Here is a 19,595-nt window from a genome sequence, read left to right on the forward strand (position 1 = left end):
TTTGTGAAACCCCAAATAAATGAACTCCTTTTTGCTTAAAAATTTTCTTTGCATCTTTTAGCTTGAATGTCCTGCAGAGCTCCACACCTTGTGAGATATGTATTACTGGCTTAGTCTGCAAATCAGCTTTGGAGGAGGTCTGAGGGAGGTGAGAAGGGAATGACGGAATTTTGGAGCAGAGACCTCCACCTGCTAATAAAGACGACAACTCCTGGCAAGCCCTGGAGTTGGGCAGGAAAAACTCACACTGACAGATATATTTAACATCTTTTCCTTAAATATCCTAATATCGAAAAGCCTTCAATGTATCAGCTGCAATACATGTGTTTTAGGGATACAGCCTTAACATGAAATGGACACATACATAAGAAAAATCGTAAGCAAGTCCTTTTTTTTCTTGGCTACTGTTTACAAATTGTTTACTACCCATATTATCTTACCTTTTGAATTTGACCTGCCCCTTGAGATATTGGAATAAAATGAGATACTGCAACAGGATGTGTCGACGAAAGTTACTGTCACTCAGTTGTAAATCCATCAGCTACTCAAGAAACAAGCAAACACATACGAAAACAACACATTAAAATCAAGTTTTTCCTAAAGGTACAAAATGTGCTAATATAGAAATGGAAGATTCCAATTCAATTTAAAAGCCATTTGTTGAGAGTTCACTGCATGTGAGGCATTACCGCACAAGCCCAAAGACAGCCCAGTCAAGGTTTCACTTAGATTTCTTGACTGTTTTATGCCATGACACATTCTTGCTGGTGGATAACAATGATCTATCTATGGTCCAGACATGAGGATAAAATAAAGCAGAAATAGAAAAAAGTAAGCTGGGCATGGTGGCACAAAGCCTATTATAGTCCCAGCTACTCAGGAAGCTGAGAAGGAGGATCACTTGAGCTCAGGAGTTCGAGATCAGTCTGAGCAACATAGCAAGACTCTAAATTTAAAAAAAAAATTTTTTTTTAAAGTAAAACTGAGGCTACTACTTTCTCACATATGAAGAAATAATGGCTAAAGAAGATACGGATAACAGCACAATATCAACGGGGACCACTCATTTTTGTAGCCCTATAAAGTGCCTGCAACAGAGGTATTACTTGACAATAAACAAGAAATTAGAGGTGAAGATCATCTCTGATTAGATGGGCTTTTTTTTTTAGCTTTTAGTGAAAATTGCATCATACTTGTATTATCACAGAATCTGGATTAGAAAGGACTTGAAGGTCACTCATGAGGAAGTTCTTCAACGACCCTGCCATCCAGCTGTAAGAATAACCTGCGGCGATGAAGGAAGGTCATTCTGATTATGTGCATGGAACACTGAAGGAAGGCTGAAGTCTGTATCCACAAACTCATGCTAGTTCTGCCTTCAAAAACTACAGTAACAAAGGAAAGCCACGTTCTTCTAAATGAATCGCCAGTAAGGCAGCTGGAAGCGTCGAAGATTGGTTTTGGTTCAATGTCCCAAGTGCTGGTGGCTCTGCTTTACGTGGTTGGTACCATTTACTAATGCTACCTAACACGCACAAGCCTCCCTATTCACTAGCAACCCCTTCCACACTGTGGCTCCAGGTCTTAAAAAAAAAAATTAATGATCAGCCTTCCAGTCAGGTTTCCCTCACGTTTAAGGATTGAATATATTTGATTGTTATTTATATTAACTCTCCTATCCCAAATTGGAAATGTGAATGGCCGGCCATCAGCCTTCCCTTCCTCCAGCCCCTGGGCAACTTGACTGTCTCCACTCAGGCTGTTAGTTCCTTGCCCTTAACTCCACGGACAGGCCCATCTCTGCTCCAGCTACCCACTACTGTGGCCACAGCTAGACCTGGGGTCACTCACAGCTGCCCCAGATCTGAAGTCTTCAACTCACAATCCTATCTCACCACAACCTCTATCCTTCCCAGGTCTCTCGCTCAGTTGCTTCCAATATACCTAATATTTGGATCTTACCGAGACTTTAAGGCCCTTGACCCGTCTATTCTCTGCCTGTTAGTCCCATCCCATTTTATTATAATCCTATTTTAGTCTAGATAAGGGGTCAGCAAACTTTTTCCTGAAGTGTCAAATAGTAAGTATTTTTATTAATAGGTTATGTGGGCTAAGAGACATATTATGGATATTATGTAGGTATTTAAACATCTAAAATGTAAGGGGGAAAAAAAAACCAAAATCACCAAAAACAACCAACACAGGTGGTGGGCCAGATTTGGCCTATAGGCTATAGTCTGCCAACTCCTGGTCTAGACTTCATGGTTAATCTCTTCGGCCATTTTCTTGCCAACTTCAACACACTTGTCCCATATTTCTTCTGTCATGTCTAGTGAGCAAACAGCAACCTTGAATAAACCAACTGTTAGTCACCTTCTCTATACCAACCCTCAGGATTCCAATCTCAGCTGAAAGTGAGGTGCCTGAGTGAATACCCCAAATTACACAGCTATGCAGAAGGCACCACTGGTATGTTGTCACCACCTTAAACATCTGTTTTTAATCAGCAATCTTTCTTTATTCTTCAAGGCCATTCTCTCTCCTACTCTTCACAGTAATGATTTTCAACCCTTTCCACTTAGCAAAAATACTACTTTACCACCCCTTCTCACTTTCAGTAGATAACTACTTTTGCCTTCAATGAGAAGAAAAATTAAATTGGAAAGCATTTCATTTCTTGGCCCCCAAAATGACAAATCAGCTGCACCTACACCTTTGTTTACTTCATTTCCTTCTGTCACAACTCCTTCACGGCTAAAGGTATTCCATCTGGATTACCTTCCATCTGGAATCCCAATATCCCTAACAATTGAGTTCCATCAACTAACTGCCCTGGTTTCTGTATCTACAACCTATTCTTTCCAAGCTCCTTTCCATAAGCATTAAATAAGCTCCCTCAAAAATCTCCCACATTCTCACCTAACCCTTTAACAGCAAAGCTTCTTAAAATAATTGACTATAGGCACTGTTGCCAATCAGCTCCTCAACCTGCTATCATCTGACCGCCTCATCCACTAATCCATTGAAAGTGTTTTTGTCGGCTGGGTGTGGTGGTTCACGCCTGTAATCCCAGCACTTTGGGAGGCTGAGGCGGGCGGATCACAAGATCAGGAGTTCGAGACCAGCCTGGCCAACATGGTGAAACCCCGTCTCTATTTAAAAAAAAAAAAAATTAGCGGGGCGTGGTGGTGCATGCCCTGTAATTCCAGCTACTCTGGAGGCTGAGGCAGGAGAATAGCTTAAACCTGGGAGGCGGAGGTTGCAATGAGTCCAGACCATGCCACTGCACTCCAGCCTGGGCAGCAGAGCAACAATCGGTCTTGGGGCGGGGGAAGAAAGTGTTTTGTCAAGATCACCAATGACTTATTTGTTGTTAAATCCTGTGAACACTCTTTACTGTCCTCATCCTACTTGATATGCTTGGCTTCCATGAGTGCATGCTTTTCTAGTTTTTCTCTAATCTCACAGGTTACTCTTCAATCTTCTCCTCTTCTCCCTTCATTCTCCCTTAAACATGGGTTTTCTTCGGGATTTCAGTATTTTCTTCTCTTCTGAATCTACACTCTCCCCTTTAGCTCATTTCATACACTCTACAGTTTGAATTACCATTTATAAACTGGTAACTCCTACAACTATACTCTCAACCTAGATCTTGTTCCTAGTCTCCAGCTTTGTACACTAGACAACCTATCACACATCTCTACCTGAATGTTCAACTGACACCTGATCAGATTTCATGAACAAAGTAAAACATCAATTTCCTCCACAAAAGCTGTTCTCCAGCATTGGCTAATTCAATGAGAGGCTCCAACATCCATTTGCCCAAGCAACTCTAGGAAGGCTTCCTGGAGAAAGCAGCATCTAAACTCTCAACAAGGAACAAACCTAAAGGTGGAGAGTGGGGGTTGGGGGATGGGGGTGCAAGAAGGGGAGCCAAATAAGAGACTGGCCTATTTGAAGGACCGAAGTACACAGTTCAATACATCTGGAGTAGAGATGTGAACCCCTAGCTTAAAGAGACGAACCAAAGTGGCTAGGTGATGCTTACTAGCTGTTCATTTTATTTTTTTATGTTGAAAGATTTTCCTTGATAGAAACAATGGATTGAAAATAGGAGTCAACAAAACACTGAATCAGGGGTGGAAAGGACCTAATGTGATTCAAGCTAACTGCTTCACATTATACTTAAGGAAACTAGGTCCAGAAAAGTTAAAACTACCTAGGCAAGATTACACAGCTAGTTAGTGACACAGCTGAGAGTAAAACTAATACACTCAATTGTACCCTTTCTTTCATAATATCTACTATCTAGTTCCATTTTTCTTTGGTTATTTAAAAAATTATATCATTTACACTATGTCATGGGTCAAACATTTCATTATTATTATTTTTAGCGACAGGGTCTCACTCTGCTTCTCAGGCTGGAGTGCAATGGCACCATCATAGCTCACTGCAGCCTTGAACTCAGGGGCTCAACCAATTCTCTCGCCTCAGCCTCCTGAGTAGCTAGGACCACCGGCATATGCCACAATGCCCAGCTAATTTTTTTCTTTTAAATTTTTTGTAGAGACAGAGTCTCACTTTGTTGCCCAGGCTGTTGTGAACTCCAGGCTGTTTTGAACTTCAAGCAATCCTGCAGCCTCAGCCTTACAAAGTGCTGGGATTACAGGTGTAGGCCATCATGCCTGGCCCAAATGTTTCTTTGTAAATGTCTTTGTATCTTGAGCAAAGGGCTTTTATTATCCTTAGCTGTATGTATGTATGTATTTAGTACAGAAGGGTCTCGCTATGTTGCCCAGGCTGAACTTGAACTCCTAGGCCCAAGTGATCCTCCCGCCCTGGTCTCCTAAATAGCTGGAACTTCAGGCATACATCACTGGACTAGGCTACTGTCCTTAGCTTTTATGGCACATCTTAGCTCAGGCCTCAGTTTTCCCGATATTCTAACCCTAAAAAGGCTCATGCTTTTCATTTTAGTCATCCTTACATGCCTCTCTGTCAATCAATTTTACATATAAATAATATTCCTGGGTAAAATTAAAGTGTATGAAATCTTCCATTTCTATCAATTTAACACAAAATACATAAAAAACATGTGCTAGAAAATATTCAGAACATTCTCATTAAAATCTTACCAACTGTCATAACACATCAGCTGAGATCAAATTATCCAATTTTTAAATTATGAAATATTTTAAATGTTCAAAAAGGTATAGTTAAGTAATACAACATTCATGTACCCACTACCCAGCTACATATAAAATCCTAACATTTTTTACTTGTTACATATCTGTTAAAGAAACAGAATATCATAGACATTGTTGAAGCTCCCTCTATAACCCTCCCCACTCCTATTTCCCTCCCTCCCTCTACTATGGTAACCACTACCATGTATTTCACGGTTAGGATTTTTATACACATTTTATATTACTACATATGTAAACATCTATAAATAATATATGGATGTACTTTGCACTGTTTCAAACTCTACACATTATGTGCTATTCTGCAATTTGCTATTTTCATACAACACTATGTTTGAAATTTACCCATCTTAATACATGTTGCTCTAGTTCAGGGATTGGCAAATCTTTTAAGGACCAGCCAGAAACTATTTTAGGCTTTATGGACTATATATCTCTGTCACAACTATTTATCTCTGCTGTTACAGAGCAAAAGCAGTCAGAGACAATCTAAATGAATGAGGGTGGCTGTGTTCCAATAAAAATTATTATTCTTATTTATTGTTTTCTGAGATAGGATCTGACTCTGTCAGCCAGGCTGGAATGCAGGAGCATGAATATGGCTCACTGCAGCCTTGACCTCCTGAGCTCAAGTGATTCTCCTGCCTCAGCCTCCCCTGTAGCTGGGACTACAGGCATATGCCACCACACTCAGCTCATTTTAAAATTTTTTTGTAGAGATGGGGGTATCACTTTGTTGCTCAGGCTGGTCTCAAACTCCTGGTTTCAAGCAATCCTCCCGTCTTGGCCTCCCAAAGTGCTGGGATTACAGCCACTGCACCTGGCCCAATAAAAATTATCTACAAAAATAGATGATAGGCCAGATTTGCCAACCCCTGCTATAATTAATCCATTTTCAGTGCTTTATAGAACTGTCACGTAAAATTATCTTATCACCCAGTCTTCTGCTTGTGAACATTGACACTGTTTCTAAACTTTCATTTACAAATACATCATTTACAAACAATGGTACAGTGAATCTTCTTAGAGATTTCCTTGTGTATGTGGGTCCTGTGTAGGGGGCCATATTTAGGAACAAATTTTAACTTCACTAGTTTTTACAAAAGTATTCTGCAAAGTGGTTGATTCAATTTATATTTCAACAGTGTATAAAAGTTCTCATTTTCCCACATCTCTGCCAATACTAGTATTGTTAGGCTTTTCAATTTTGGCCAGTTTGCTAAGTGTATGGTTATCTCATATTTTATCTGCACTAGAGATGCTTAGCAACTTTTATAAGCTCATTCACTATTCAGTTTTCTACATCTTTAAATTACTTTTTCTTATCATCTTTTCAGTTTTCCATTTGGTTGTCTTTTATCAATGGAATATTTTGAATACTAATTTTTCCCGGTTATGTAGGTGACAAATAATCTTCTCCCAGTCTGTGCCTTGTCTTTTTACTTTGCCTACGGTATCTTTTGCTATTCAAGACTTTTACATCTTAATATTAAATCTTAAATACTAAATTGATATTTTTCCCTCACAATTTGTGCTTTTTGTAGCTCAAGAAATCTCTCCCTACTCCAAATTTACATATTTCATGTTTTCTTCTAAATGTTTAAAAGTCTTGCTTTTCTCATTCATACTTTCAATTAACCTGGAATTGATTAACCTAGAATTGACTGTACTGAGGTATAGACTGAATTTTAATTTTTCCATATGGATAATGAATTGTCCAAGCAACATTTATTAAGAATAGGCCAGGCCTGGTGGCTCACACCTGTAATCCCAGCACTTTGGGAGGCTGAGGCGGGCAGATCACCTGAGGTTGGGAGTTTGAGACCAGCCTGACCAATATGGAGAAACCTTGTCTCTATTAAAAATATAAAATTACCCGGGCATGGTGGCGCATGCCTGTAATCCCAGTTACTCGGGAGGCTGAGGCAAGAGAATCACTTGAACCCAGGAGGTGGAGGCTGCGATGAGCCAAGATCGCGCCACTGCACTCGCCTGGGCAACAAGAGTGAAACTCTGTCTCAAAATAAACAAATAAATAAATAATTCATCCTTTCCTCACTAGTTTATAATGCAATCTTCTTTTGTATATTAACCTTTTCTACAATTTGGACTTTCTATTGTTTTAGTTTTCTTCTTCTGTATATTAGTACTAATAATTACCTGCCCTAATTACTATTGCTGTATAGGTCTTAATATCTGACACAGCAAGTGTTCCCGCTTTCTTCATGGTTTTCTTACTCTTGGCTCTTTGCTTTTCCATAGAAATAGTAAGACTAACTTTTTGAGTTCCCATGAAAAAACCCATTTGGTCTTTATAATAAAACAATTTATATTCCTTTGGGTATAACTCAAATTAAAAAACCCATTTGGATACTGATTCAAAATATACTGAATCAATAAATCTGGGGAGAAGGGGCACTGGGTCTGTATCTATAAATGTAGAAACACTGCTCCATTTTTGTAATGTTTCTCTATGAAGATTACGCCTAGGTATTGGAGAGCTTTCACTGCTATTCTGAATAACATGTTGTAATTGATTACTGGTTTATAAGAACACTATTGATGTTTCTCTTGCAATCTTGCTGAAGTTTCATTAGTTCTAACAGTTTCTTGGTTCTCTTGGACTTTTCTCTGTAGACAATTATATTGTCTTCAAATGGGGATAGTTTACTCTTTTCTTTCCAATACTTATAACTCTTACTCCTTTTTTGTTTTTTTCTCTTATTGAAATGGTTAGATCCTCCAGTACGGTGTTGAACAGAAATATGGTTAGTGTCCATCCATGTCTTCTTTTTGGATTTAATGGGAATACTTTCTAAAGTTTCATAATTGTGTATGATGTTTGCAATAGGGTTTTTAAAATCAGTCCTTTATCAACTCAGAGAACATTCCTTTCTACTTTTTGTATTGAATATTAGATTTTATTGAATTTTCTTGGCTTCTGAGATGATCATACAGATCTTAAAAATCTTTAATCTGTTTTTTTTTTGTTTTGTTTTTTCAGACACGGTCTTGCTGTGTTGCCCAGGCTGGTCTTGAACTCCTGGGCTCAAGCAATCCTCCGGCCTTGGCCTCCCAAAGTGCTGGGATTACAGGCGTAAGCCAATACGCCCAGCCAATCGGTTGTTAATCTGGCATTATATTCATCTTTCTGATGAACCATACTTACATTCCTAGGATAAACTGTATGTCTCTATTTTTAAAAAAATTACTTAATTTGTGAGTTTGTAAGACATTTTTTATTTCTATAAATAGAAAACATTCTATTTATATGTGAGATGAATATACATACACATTTTTCCTTGTTCTGTCCTTATTGGGATTTTAAGTTATAATCTTACATAATGAACTGGGGGGCTTCTCTTTTTCTAACTTCTGAAAATTTTCATTTATGGTAGAAATTATTTATTCTTTGAAGTGTTGATAAGATATGCCTTAAAAACCTCTGGGCCTGATGTCATTCAAAAAGTGTCATTCTGGCTGGTATTTCCTTAATGGTTGTTCATTTATTTGGTTTTCTATTTTTTTTTTTTTTTGAGAGTCTATTTCGGTCATTAAAATTTTCTAAACAATTCCCATTTTATTAGGCTTCAAAATTTATTCGTAGTTGTTCATAATATCCTCTTAATCATTTGAAATATCTCTATGTCAATTTTTACTGTTAATATTGTTTGCTGGTATCTTTTCATTTTCCTTGCACAAGCTCTGGATTTCTTTTTATAACATTTTCTTTTCAAAGAAACACTTTCAGTTTTGCTGATATGTTTTAGTTTGTTTTATTTCACTAAGTTGTGCTATTATTACTTCCATTTTCTTGAGCTTTATTTTGTACTTTTTCTAACTTCTTGAGTTGAACGCTCAATTTGTCACTCTTTCTTGACATTTTTTCCATTAATGCATATGAAGCTTTAACTGTCCCTTTGCATCTCCCTTTATTTGCAACCCACACTTCTGACATGTAATTCTTCCTATAATTACAATTTTGATATACATTTATTACAAATTTGGAATTTCCATTATGAGTTCTTCTTTAACTCCTGGGAAATGCATTTTTATGTTTTCATATATTTGCCTTTTTTTAAGCTATCCTTTTTGCAGCTCTAATTTTAGAATTCTAATTTGATTACAGAGAAATGTGGCCAGAGAATGTGTTCTTCGTGTATAATCTTTGAAATTTGCTGAGAATTTCTTTGTGACCTAGTACATGGTCAAATTTTGTGAATGTTCCACGTATACACAAAAAGAAATATGTTGCTTCTATTTGTTCTATACTACACCAAGCTTATTACTGTCATTGTTCAAATCTTCCATATACTTAACTAATCTTTAGTCAACCTGATCCATCAGAAGCAGTTAAAAATACATACTGTAATTGTGGGCCAACTTTTCATAATTTTGTAAGTTTTTGCTTAATATATTTTGAGGGTATATTGTTAAATACATATAAGTTCATGACACCTTGGTGGTTCATTCCTTTATTATGTAGTGTTTCTTGTCCTATTTATACTTTTTCCCTTAAATTCTATTTTATTTGTTATTTATGTAGCTTTCTTTTTGTTGGTATTAGCCTGGTATGTCTCTTTCCATCCTAATATTTCAATCATGAGTTTTGTTTTAGGTATATATCCCTTGTGGATACAAACTGCTCCATCTTCAATTTATTAAATTTTGTGTTCTTTTATTTTCCATGTAAGTTTTAAGCTTCTTAGGTCTGCTTTTTTCCTTCTTACTGAAAATCATGGAATTACAGAACTCAGCTTTGCATAACTAGGAAAGAATAAGATTCTTTTTTTTTTTTTTTTTTTTTTTGAGACGGAGTCTCGCTCTGTCGCCCAGGCGGGAGTGCAGTGGCGCGATCTCGGCTCACTGCAAGCTCCGCCTCCCGGGTTCACGCCATTCTCCTGCCTCAGCCTCCCGAGTAGCTGGGAACTACAGGCGCCCGCTACCACGCCCGGCTAATTTTTTTTTTTTTGTATTTTTAGTAGAGACAGGGTTTCACCGTGTTAGCCAGGATGGTCTCGATCTCCTGACCTCGTGATCCGCCCGCCTCGGCCTCCCAAAGTGCTGGGATTACAGGCGTGAGCCACCGCGCCCGGCGAAAGAATAAGATTCTAAGATGCAAACCTCATTAAAAGGAAACTGGTGCACCCGGAAGACAAATGTACCAATGGCAATTTGGTACATGGGACGCTCAGAGCATCTGTGTAAATGTGATTTTATGTTTTGCTCTTGAGCCCCAGTGAGGTACAGTACACAAAAGGATCGCTTCTATTAACCTTGAGTTAGTTCAGAATGTTTTCACTCCTTCAAAGTGCTCTTGTATGACCTCTAGTTGGCCTAATAATTTAATAATTTTCCTGTGACTGTTAGGCTTTTTTTTTTCTTTTATGTGAAAACCCATATGAATTGTGTGTCAGGGAGTAGGCAAGAGGGTAGTCTTTCTGTAGCATGACTGCAGGAGTTGCATATTTCTCAAAAAAGTATTAAGTCTCTGAAAAGAACACAGCTCTACAGTTTCTACTGTATATAAGTCTGATCAGACTGTGTGGCTTGAGAGATTTCTAGAAAAGTACTAAATCTCTCATGTACTGGATTTTTTTTTTTTTTTTTTTTGAGACAGAGTCTTGCTCTGTTACCCAGGCTGGAGTGCAGTGGCACAATCGTGGCTTACTACAACCTCTGCCTCCCGGGTTCAAGCAATTCTGCCTCAGCCTCCTGAGCAGCTGGGACTACAGGTGCGCACTACCACACCCAGCTAAATTTTGTATTTTTAGTAGAGATGGGGTTTCACTATGTTGGCCAGGCTGATCTCAAACTCCTGGCCTCAAGTGATCCACCCACCTTGACCTCTCAAAGTGCTGGGATTACGAGCGTGAGCCACCACACTGGGCTTCACATACTGGATTTCCTTTTTAAATTGTTGAAAGGCACCACTAAGTGCTTACATAATCCTGGACGAGCTGTTAAAATCTGCCCAGACAATTAAGAAATCAAGCCTAAACACCAAATGTTTTGAATATACCCATTTTCTCCCCAGATTAGGAAAAAAAAAATACAGGTTCCACAGTTAGTATGTTTACAAATATTTCGCTTTAAACGTTAAACAATTTAAACTTTTAATTTTCACAAATGTGTTAGATATTAAATTAGGGTCTAGAGGACTAAACTGTACAATAGTTTTCTACCTGGAATAGTACCTTCCATATAACTTACTCAATTGAAATAGAAAACATTTGGTTTCTGAGAAAAAGAATGTGTAAACAATTGTATAAAAACAACTAAATTATAAATTTAAATAGTATTCCTTTTTTTTTCTTTTTGAGATGGAGTCTCACTCTGTTGCCCAGGCTAGAGTGCAGCGGTGCAATCTTGGCTCACCGCAACCTCTGCCTCCCAGGTTCAATGGATCCCCATGCCTCCGCCTCTAGGGCAGCTGGGATTACAGGCACGCACCACCACGCCTGGATAATTTTTGTATTTTGTGGAGATGGGGTTTCACCATGTTGGCCAGGCTGGTTCTCAAACTCCTGACCTCAAGTGATTTGCCCACCTTGGCCTCCCAAGGTGCTGGGATTACAGGTGTGAGCCACTGCACCCAGCTCTACTTTCTAATAATTCTTTTCAAACTGTCTTTCAAAAAAAAGTTCTTAAAAAAATGAAAAATCTAATTTTAGCTTAAAGGTCTCTCAGTGTCCCTGCTGAGTTATAAGATAAAAGGAGATGCCCACTGAAGGCAGGAGCTATCAAGTCTCAATCCTTTTATTTAGTAAAAAGGTAACCTGAAGATACAGTCTCAAATTAAAAAGTTTTAAGCAACTTTCTGTACTAATAATGTGTTGCTTACCTACAGGGATACATTCTAAGAAAGGTGTCATTAGGCAATTTCCCCATTGTGTGAATATCATAGAGTGTACTTAACAATAGTATTGCCTACTACACAACTAGGCTATATGGTACAGCCTATGGCTCCTGGGCTACGAACCTGTAGAGCATGTTACTGCACTGAATACTGTAAGCAACTGTAACACAATGGTTAAGGATTTGTGTATCTAAACATAGAAAAGGCAAAGTAAAAACACAGTATTATATAATCTATAATCTTACAGAACCACTGTTGTACATGGGGTCCACTGTTGACCAGTTATGTGGTTGTTATGTGGTGCCATTATGGGGTGCATGACTGTACTGTGAAGTAGACTTAGAAGGCTACAGTATTCCTCAATAAAATAAATATCAAAAATTTAAATTTCATTTTCCTTAATACTCATAGTCAATGTAAAACAAACTCTTTAATGTTTTACATTAGTACTGTTTGAAAGTTTTCAGTTTAAAAGATGACTTTATGACTTTTCTTTGATTAAACCACAAGGTAGAAAAAAGATACAAATATAGAATTTTAATAAACATAAGACTTTTCTACCTTTAAAAGGCTAAAATGAAACTTTCTAATTAACATTGGTTATTTTGTTGTTACCTCTATTATTAACTCAGGATTATTTACACATAAACATGGGTGAACAACTAAATCAAGCTGTGATTAAACAGCCAGTGTTTATATATTGGTTTTCATAAATCTCAGACAATACTGAAAATTATATGAATTTACAGAATATTCTTACGCTATCCGGTAAAGTTTTAATATTCTATAGGATTACAGAGTATTGAAAAAATTTCTACAAAAAGTTAAAATTCAGACACAGAAAACATAAAAAGTCCCTAACATACGATACTTTTATTTATTTTATTTATTTATTTTTTGAGACAGAGTCTCGCTCTGTTGCCCAGGATGGAGTGCAGTGGTGTGATCTCAGCTCACTGCAACCTCTGCCTCCTAGGTTTACGCAATTCTCCTACCTCAGCCTCCCGAGTAGCTGGGATCATAGGCACCTGCCACCACGCCCGGCTAATTTTTTGTATTTTTAGTACAGACAGAGTTTCGCTGTGTTGGCCAGGCTGGTCTCAAACACCTGACCTCAAGTGATCTGTCTGCCTCGGCCTCCCAGAGTGCTGGGACACAGGCGTGAGCCATTGTGCCTGGCCTGATTCATATGTTTTTAAACCTATGTATCTCTGACTATACCTTAACATGTTTGTTCTTCATAACACTCAGGATGAAATAAATCAGTTAATGTTTACATATTAAACATGATAGAATTGTTTTAAAAACCAAAGTTTTAAATAATACTGTTATTAAACACTGATCTATTAAAACATGCATATCAAAGTATACTGAAAACTAATAAACACTTGTATATAATAGAGGAGGGAGCCCAATTAACACAGAGAAAAAATTTTTTTTTCCTCTGGGTATGAAGTCCATTTATAACCAGGTAATAATTTTTTGCCCTCTACAGAGTCTGTCCAGGAGTCCAAAATTATTGTCCTCATCAGAGAACATTTTCTTTTCAAAGGTCTATTAACATTTAAAATATGACTTTGTTATGCTTTTGTGTAATCATGACTATACACTGTTGTAAAAATAATGAGAGTTCTCATTTCTAGAGGATCTAAAATTTGTAATGGTCTTTCTGTTATAGTCAGTATTAATTTCTATTACTTTGGCTAATAAGAAGGTTGGGTGACTTCTTATTCTATCTCTGCTCTTTATCTTATCAAATAACTAGTCTCCTCTGCTAAGCCTTTCAGACTTTGCCTCTCTTCAAGATTAGGCTCCAAATTCAGAGCCTACTTTGGCAGTACATCTTCTGCACCCTGTCTTTGGTCTTTCCTAGAGGGCTGCTACTTGGTAGCATCAATCACTTTACTTTCTTATCTTGCTTGTATAACCATGGCTTGACTCACACACAGAGGTTATTCTAAAAATAACAATGGCAGAGTATGCTCTAAGTTTTGTAATATGCTCAATGATATTTAAAGAACTGTTCTATCTGTCAGGACCAGAGTTCAAAAATGTCAAAACAGAGGGTAGTTCATGCTTTCCGCCCTGAAGACCATTACAAGTCAATTTTACAATCATATGAAAAGGTTTTGGCTATAGTATTTACCTTTACAGGACGAGTGAAAGCACACCCATATGCTAAGACTGACATGACTGTCAGCAAAAGACTTCTAAAGCAGGGATCCCCAACCTTTTTGGCACCAGGGACTGGTTTCATGGAAGACAATTTTTCCACAGACCAGGGGTTATGGGGTAGAGGGAATGGTTTTGGGATGATTCAAGTGCATTACATTTATTGTGTACTTCATTTCTATTATTAATATATTGTAATATATAATGAAATACATATACAACTCACCATAATGTAGAATCAGTGGAAGCCCTGAGCTTGTTTACCTGCAACTAGAAGGTCCCATCTGGGGTTGGTGGGAGACAGTGACAGATCATCAGGCATTAGATTCTCATAAGGAGCACACAACCTAGATCCCTCATGATCAGTTTACAATAGGGTTCATGTTCCTATGAGAATCTAATGCTGCTGCTGATCTGATAGGAGACGGAGCTCAGGTGGTAATATGAGTGATGGAGAGCAGCTGTAAATACAGATGAAGCTTCGCTTGCTTGCCCACTGCTCACCTCCTGCTGTGCAACCCTGTTCCAGAGCTATCTAAAAGCCTCCCATGCCGAGAACAACTAATGAGATAAAAAAAAAAATTGTAGCATAGTGGTTAGCCTGCCCACTTGTTAACAGGAGGGTCTTGCTTCTGCCTTCATTTGCTCCTAGCTAGGCTATAGTATATCTTATAAGAGACCCACCTTAGCCGTTACTACATAAAGATTCAACCTCTCAAATGGACATAAAAAGTACAAAACATTTAAGGCAGAATGACTATATGGATAGTTTCTTACTGCCAGGAACTTTTTTTTAAAAAATGACCAAAAGTCCTAACTAGAGGCCTCTTCACACAATGCAGAGACCAAGCAAAATTGTGAATTTTCTTTTCTCCATGAAAATGAATGGCCTAATGACCACACTAGGGTCAACAGTACATAACTGTGGGTAACCTCACCCTGGTAACTGCTAGCCACTGAGTATTCCATCTGATCATTTTGGTCATTGAGTCTCAGATGGAAAGTGAGAAGTGTATTATTCTGAAGGACTGGGTAACCCTAAAGCCTATATCTAATTAGTGTTATTATACTCTTTTCTGTGAGAACTTAAAAGATCCAAAAATATATTCCTTTAACCATCATGGTAATACTCATGGTACTTAAACATTTTGAAATGTTGTTCTGCTTTTACATGCTACATAGTACAGAGGGAGGAATCCCTACAATACCAGTGCCTTTTATTTGGTATAAGTTGAACAATTAGAGGTAAAATCCTCCCTTAACATTTCTGAGTATGATCCTGGACTAACCTTAAAGAACAGATACTTTTCCACTGCATTAGAAAATAAGCAACCCAGGTGTATCAGCACTACATTTAGCAAGTAGTAACCCTGGATTATTTTGCTCTGCTAAAAAGGGAACTATACTGTTGGGCACTAGTATTCAGAATCACACTCCAGGTAGTACAAAAATGTGGCACTTTGTTTCTAGGGGAAACTTCTTTCTTTAAGAAGGAAGACACAATAATTTACAAAGACACCCATTTTATTTGTAGAACCTCTACCTACCTGTAGTTGCCACATGACTGGCCTATCTCCAACTATAAAGTTTATATCATCTGGCTGGGCGTGGTGGCTCACGCCTGTAATCCCTGCACTTTGGAAGGCTGAGGCAGGCAGATCACCTGAGGCTGCGAGTTCGAGACCAGCCTGGCCAACATGGCAAAAAACCTGTCTCTATTAAAAATACAAAAATTGGCCAGGCGTGGTGTTGGGCGCCTGTAATCCCAGCTACTTGGGAGGCTGAGGCACGAGAATCGCTTGAACCCAGGAGGTGGAAGTTACAGTGGGCCAAAAAAAAAGTGTCTCAAAAAAAAAAAAAAAGTTTGTATCATCCTTGCCAAGCATTGTTTCCGGACTATCCCTAAGGAAAAGTCTGACCAGATTCATGTAACAAAACACAATGCTTCTGGATAATATTCCCATTGGATGGGGTCACGGCTCTATTACAGAGATGAAAGATCTAACCTTGTAATGACAAGCACTTTTCTAAACCTGCTCACCAGTGAAATGATAGGCTAAAGAGTTATGCTCCAAATAATCATAGCTTTAGATTTCACTTTAGCTAGCTCTTACTGGCAAGGAATATGGCACCCATATCCCTGAAAAATCCAGACCTTTCTCATGACTTACCAAATCTATATCAAAAGTTGAAAGTAACATCAGGCCCAAAACTGGCATATATTTAGGTGTGAAGGCCTTTTTGGGAATCCTAGTATCAAAACACCATGTAAGGTACAGAGATGCTGGAAGGCTTCTTTCAGTGCAGCAGTAAAGCTTATAAAATGTTGCATATTTTCCATGATACACGTAATGCATTACAAATATTTTCACTTGTATATTAAGTAGTAAAAACTAAAAATACACCAAAAAATATGAAGAATGTACAAAGAGGACTGTAAATTTAAGACAAAGTTGTTGCTTAAGGGGCAACAAAGGGAAATGAAGATGCAAAACATTACATGCCTCACATTCTCTTTGGTACAATTTTGTGCCTTTTTCTTACTCCTATGGTAAGTTTTAAGCTTCTCAAAGCTGTTTTTACCTTCCTCGTGATGTGATATTAATTAATGAAATTTCAGTGCTTAATCCTGAAAGTTCATGTTCTAACTGCTGGTGAAAGCAAGTTCACAAAGAATCAGAAAAGGAGAGATACTATTAGAAAGCCAAGTGTGACAAAGTGAATGGAGAATGATATAAAAGCATCAATCCCATATTCCAATGTGGAGATTTCTCTGAAAATGTTTAATCCTGCTGTTTTTCATTACTAAAATGTCTTTAGAAATGCTATTTGTTCGGGAGGTGGAGGCAGGAGAATCGCTTAAACCCAGGTGGCAGAGGTTGCAGTGAGCCAAGACCACGCCATTGCACTCCAGCCTGGGCGACAGAGCAAAACTCCGTCTCAAAAAAAAATATATATATATATATCAATTAAGACATCCAGAGTTTTGAAATAGCTGTCATGTCCTGAGAAATGTGGACCTGTAACTCTTAAAAATACACAACTCTTACTGGTTGTTTTATTTTGTAACTTTTTTGCCCTGATAATATTAAACTGACACCTCTGCATTCTAAAAGTAGGTAACCTTGGGAAGGTTCTTTGTTAAGCAAGAAGAGCTTTGGGATTTTCTTACACATGAAGTAGAATAAAACTTTTGAATTCTTTAGTTAACCAAAAGGTTTCTATATTTGTTTCATTTAAATTAACAAATATAGCTGGAGTTTTAAAAATCCAATCTGATAAAGTCTTATTAGGTATATTAAATCAGTCTATACTTGTTATTACTGACCTATTTCTCTCCTCCTTTCTCTTCCTTTTTTCTGCCATTCGCTGGATTTATAAAGTGGTCTAGATTCCTCCCTGCCTCCCTTTGATCTCTGTTCTTTGAGAGCAACAAGTTGGTTTTCTTTTGGTGGTTACCCTTTTAATATACATGAAAAGGAATATTCAGTATTCCTTTCCTACTCCTGAAGATTACAAGGACTGCCATAATTTTAAATTACTCACTAAACATCTCTGCTTTCCCCTTCCATATTATTACTGTCATCTAGTTAAGTTCCACGTTAATAAAATTTTTTAATTAAAAAAATTTTAAATCATTCATGACTTTTTTGTGTTTATAGTCAATAGTAAATTTACTGTCATATTTTTCAATTTTTGTGCTCACCGTTGCCTTCTGTATCCCACTCCATTCTTATGGGTTCAATTTCCTTCCTCCTGAAGAACATCCTTGAGTAGTTTTTTTCAAAATGAGGGTCACTGAGTGGTAAGTTATCCTGGTCTTTAAATAAAAATGTCTTTCTTTCATCGACAGTCTTGAGTATATTTAACTCGGTATAAAATTCTAGATTGAATGTCATTTTTCTTTCAGCACTTTAATATTTCTCTACTGTCTTCTGGTATTAATGGTTGATATGTTAGAAATCTGCTAACAGTCAAACTGCTGTGCCTTCCCAGTATATTTGTCTTTCTTATCCCTTAGTGGCTTTTAGGTTTTCTCTGAATGCCCACAGTTATGGCATGATGTAATGAAGAGTAGATTTATCTTTCTTTATCCTGCTTGGCAGTTGTGACACACTTTTAAGCTGAGGATTTGAGATTTCCTTCAATTCTTTGCAATCCAGTTTCTCTACCATTCCCTCCATTTTCTTCTTTGGAAATCCTACTAGACAGATGTTGGAAATTCCCAATCTATTCACCATGGCTTTTAACTGCTCTTCCACTTAAAAAAAAAAAATCTGTCTGTGCTGCTTGCTGGATGAAGTTCTCATCACCTTCTTCAGTTCACTAGTTCTTTGTTCATCTATGTCCAGTGTATAGTTTAATTCTGTGTGCTGAGTTTTGGTTTCAATTATTGTATTTTTCATTCCCAAGACTCCCGATTAGTTGTATCGACTGTCCTACTTCATTTCAGCCTGCTTTTGTTTCATGATTTCTTGTTCCTTTTCAATGGATGTTATCTCATCGATTATCTTTTTGAGTATCCAAAACATACATAAAGTCTTGGTCAGGCTATATATTTCATCTGGAATAAATATATATATATATCCCAATAGTTGATTTTGCTGGTGATCCTTCTTAGCATTAGATTTATGGATTTTGGAATTTTAATTTATCAGAGTTTTGAACAGGAGCCTTTTCTTTTGGGATGTTTGTTTACTTCCTTTCCCCTCCCTCTCTGTGTACATCCTTCCCTGTCTAGCAGTTTTGCATCTGCTTCTACCAGGGCCCCTGAGTCCAAAAGTCTAGAAGAAGTCTTATGATGACTTCTTGGAGCAGCTGTTTCATAAGTATACTGAGCATATCACATATCTGGTCACTGAGCAAGCAGATGGACACAAAGCTGTCTTTGTTATCCCTAGGCTCACAACTTCCTATAAAACCATAGCCCTTGGCAGAAGACTGGCAATATTTTTTCTTAGTTTCTTCCCAAAACTGGATAAAAGTTCCACCCTAGTCCTTGGCTTCAAGAAGTGAATCTGGCTCTGGCCCCTTGTCCCACATGGTGCACATTTAGTCTCTGTTACTTGTAGCCAAATTCCTGGACACCACCACCTGCCTTGGATAGAGAGTCCAGCAGGCCCAGGCTGCAGTTTTGCTCACTACTTGGCATTTCTGGTCCATGAAGATATTTATCTTGTTTCTGGAAGCCCAGCCTTGTCTCTTTTGTTTTCTCGTTTATATTTTACCCGTCATTGCTATGTGTTTGGAGCAAAGGGAGTGAGTCGAAACATAAACTCAATGTGCCATCTTGACTAGAAACTTTACATAATCTTGTAGCATTATATTTGAATAAAATTTACTTTTTAAAATGTATAAAT

At 37.7% G+C, this 19,595-nt stretch overlaps 1 protein-coding gene across 5 annotated transcripts in view; it reads right to left on the reverse strand.

Moving 5' to 3' along the window:
* The window catches only part of THOC1 (THO complex subunit 1), a 53,528-nt gene that overhangs the window by 11,841 nt on the left and 22,092 nt on the right, over nucleotides 1-19,595 (reverse strand). For 3 of the 5 annotated variants that reach the window (NM_005131.3, XM_011525772.4, XM_047437972.1), the window contains one exon: nucleotides 441-541. In NM_005131.3, coding sequence (NP_005122.2) covers nucleotides 441-541 — 101 coding nt within the window. Of the gene's footprint in view, nucleotides 1-440; nucleotides 542-17,941; nucleotides 19,473-19,595 lie in introns of those variants that run through there. The other 2 variants (XM_011525774.2, XM_017026104.2) reach the window with 2 other exon arrangements.

This window comes from Homo sapiens, chromosome 18, assembly GCF_000001405.40.
Source record: "Homo sapiens chromosome 18, GRCh38.p14 Primary Assembly".
NCBI classification, from domain to species: Eukaryota; Metazoa; Chordata; class Mammalia; order Primates; family Hominidae; genus Homo; species Homo sapiens.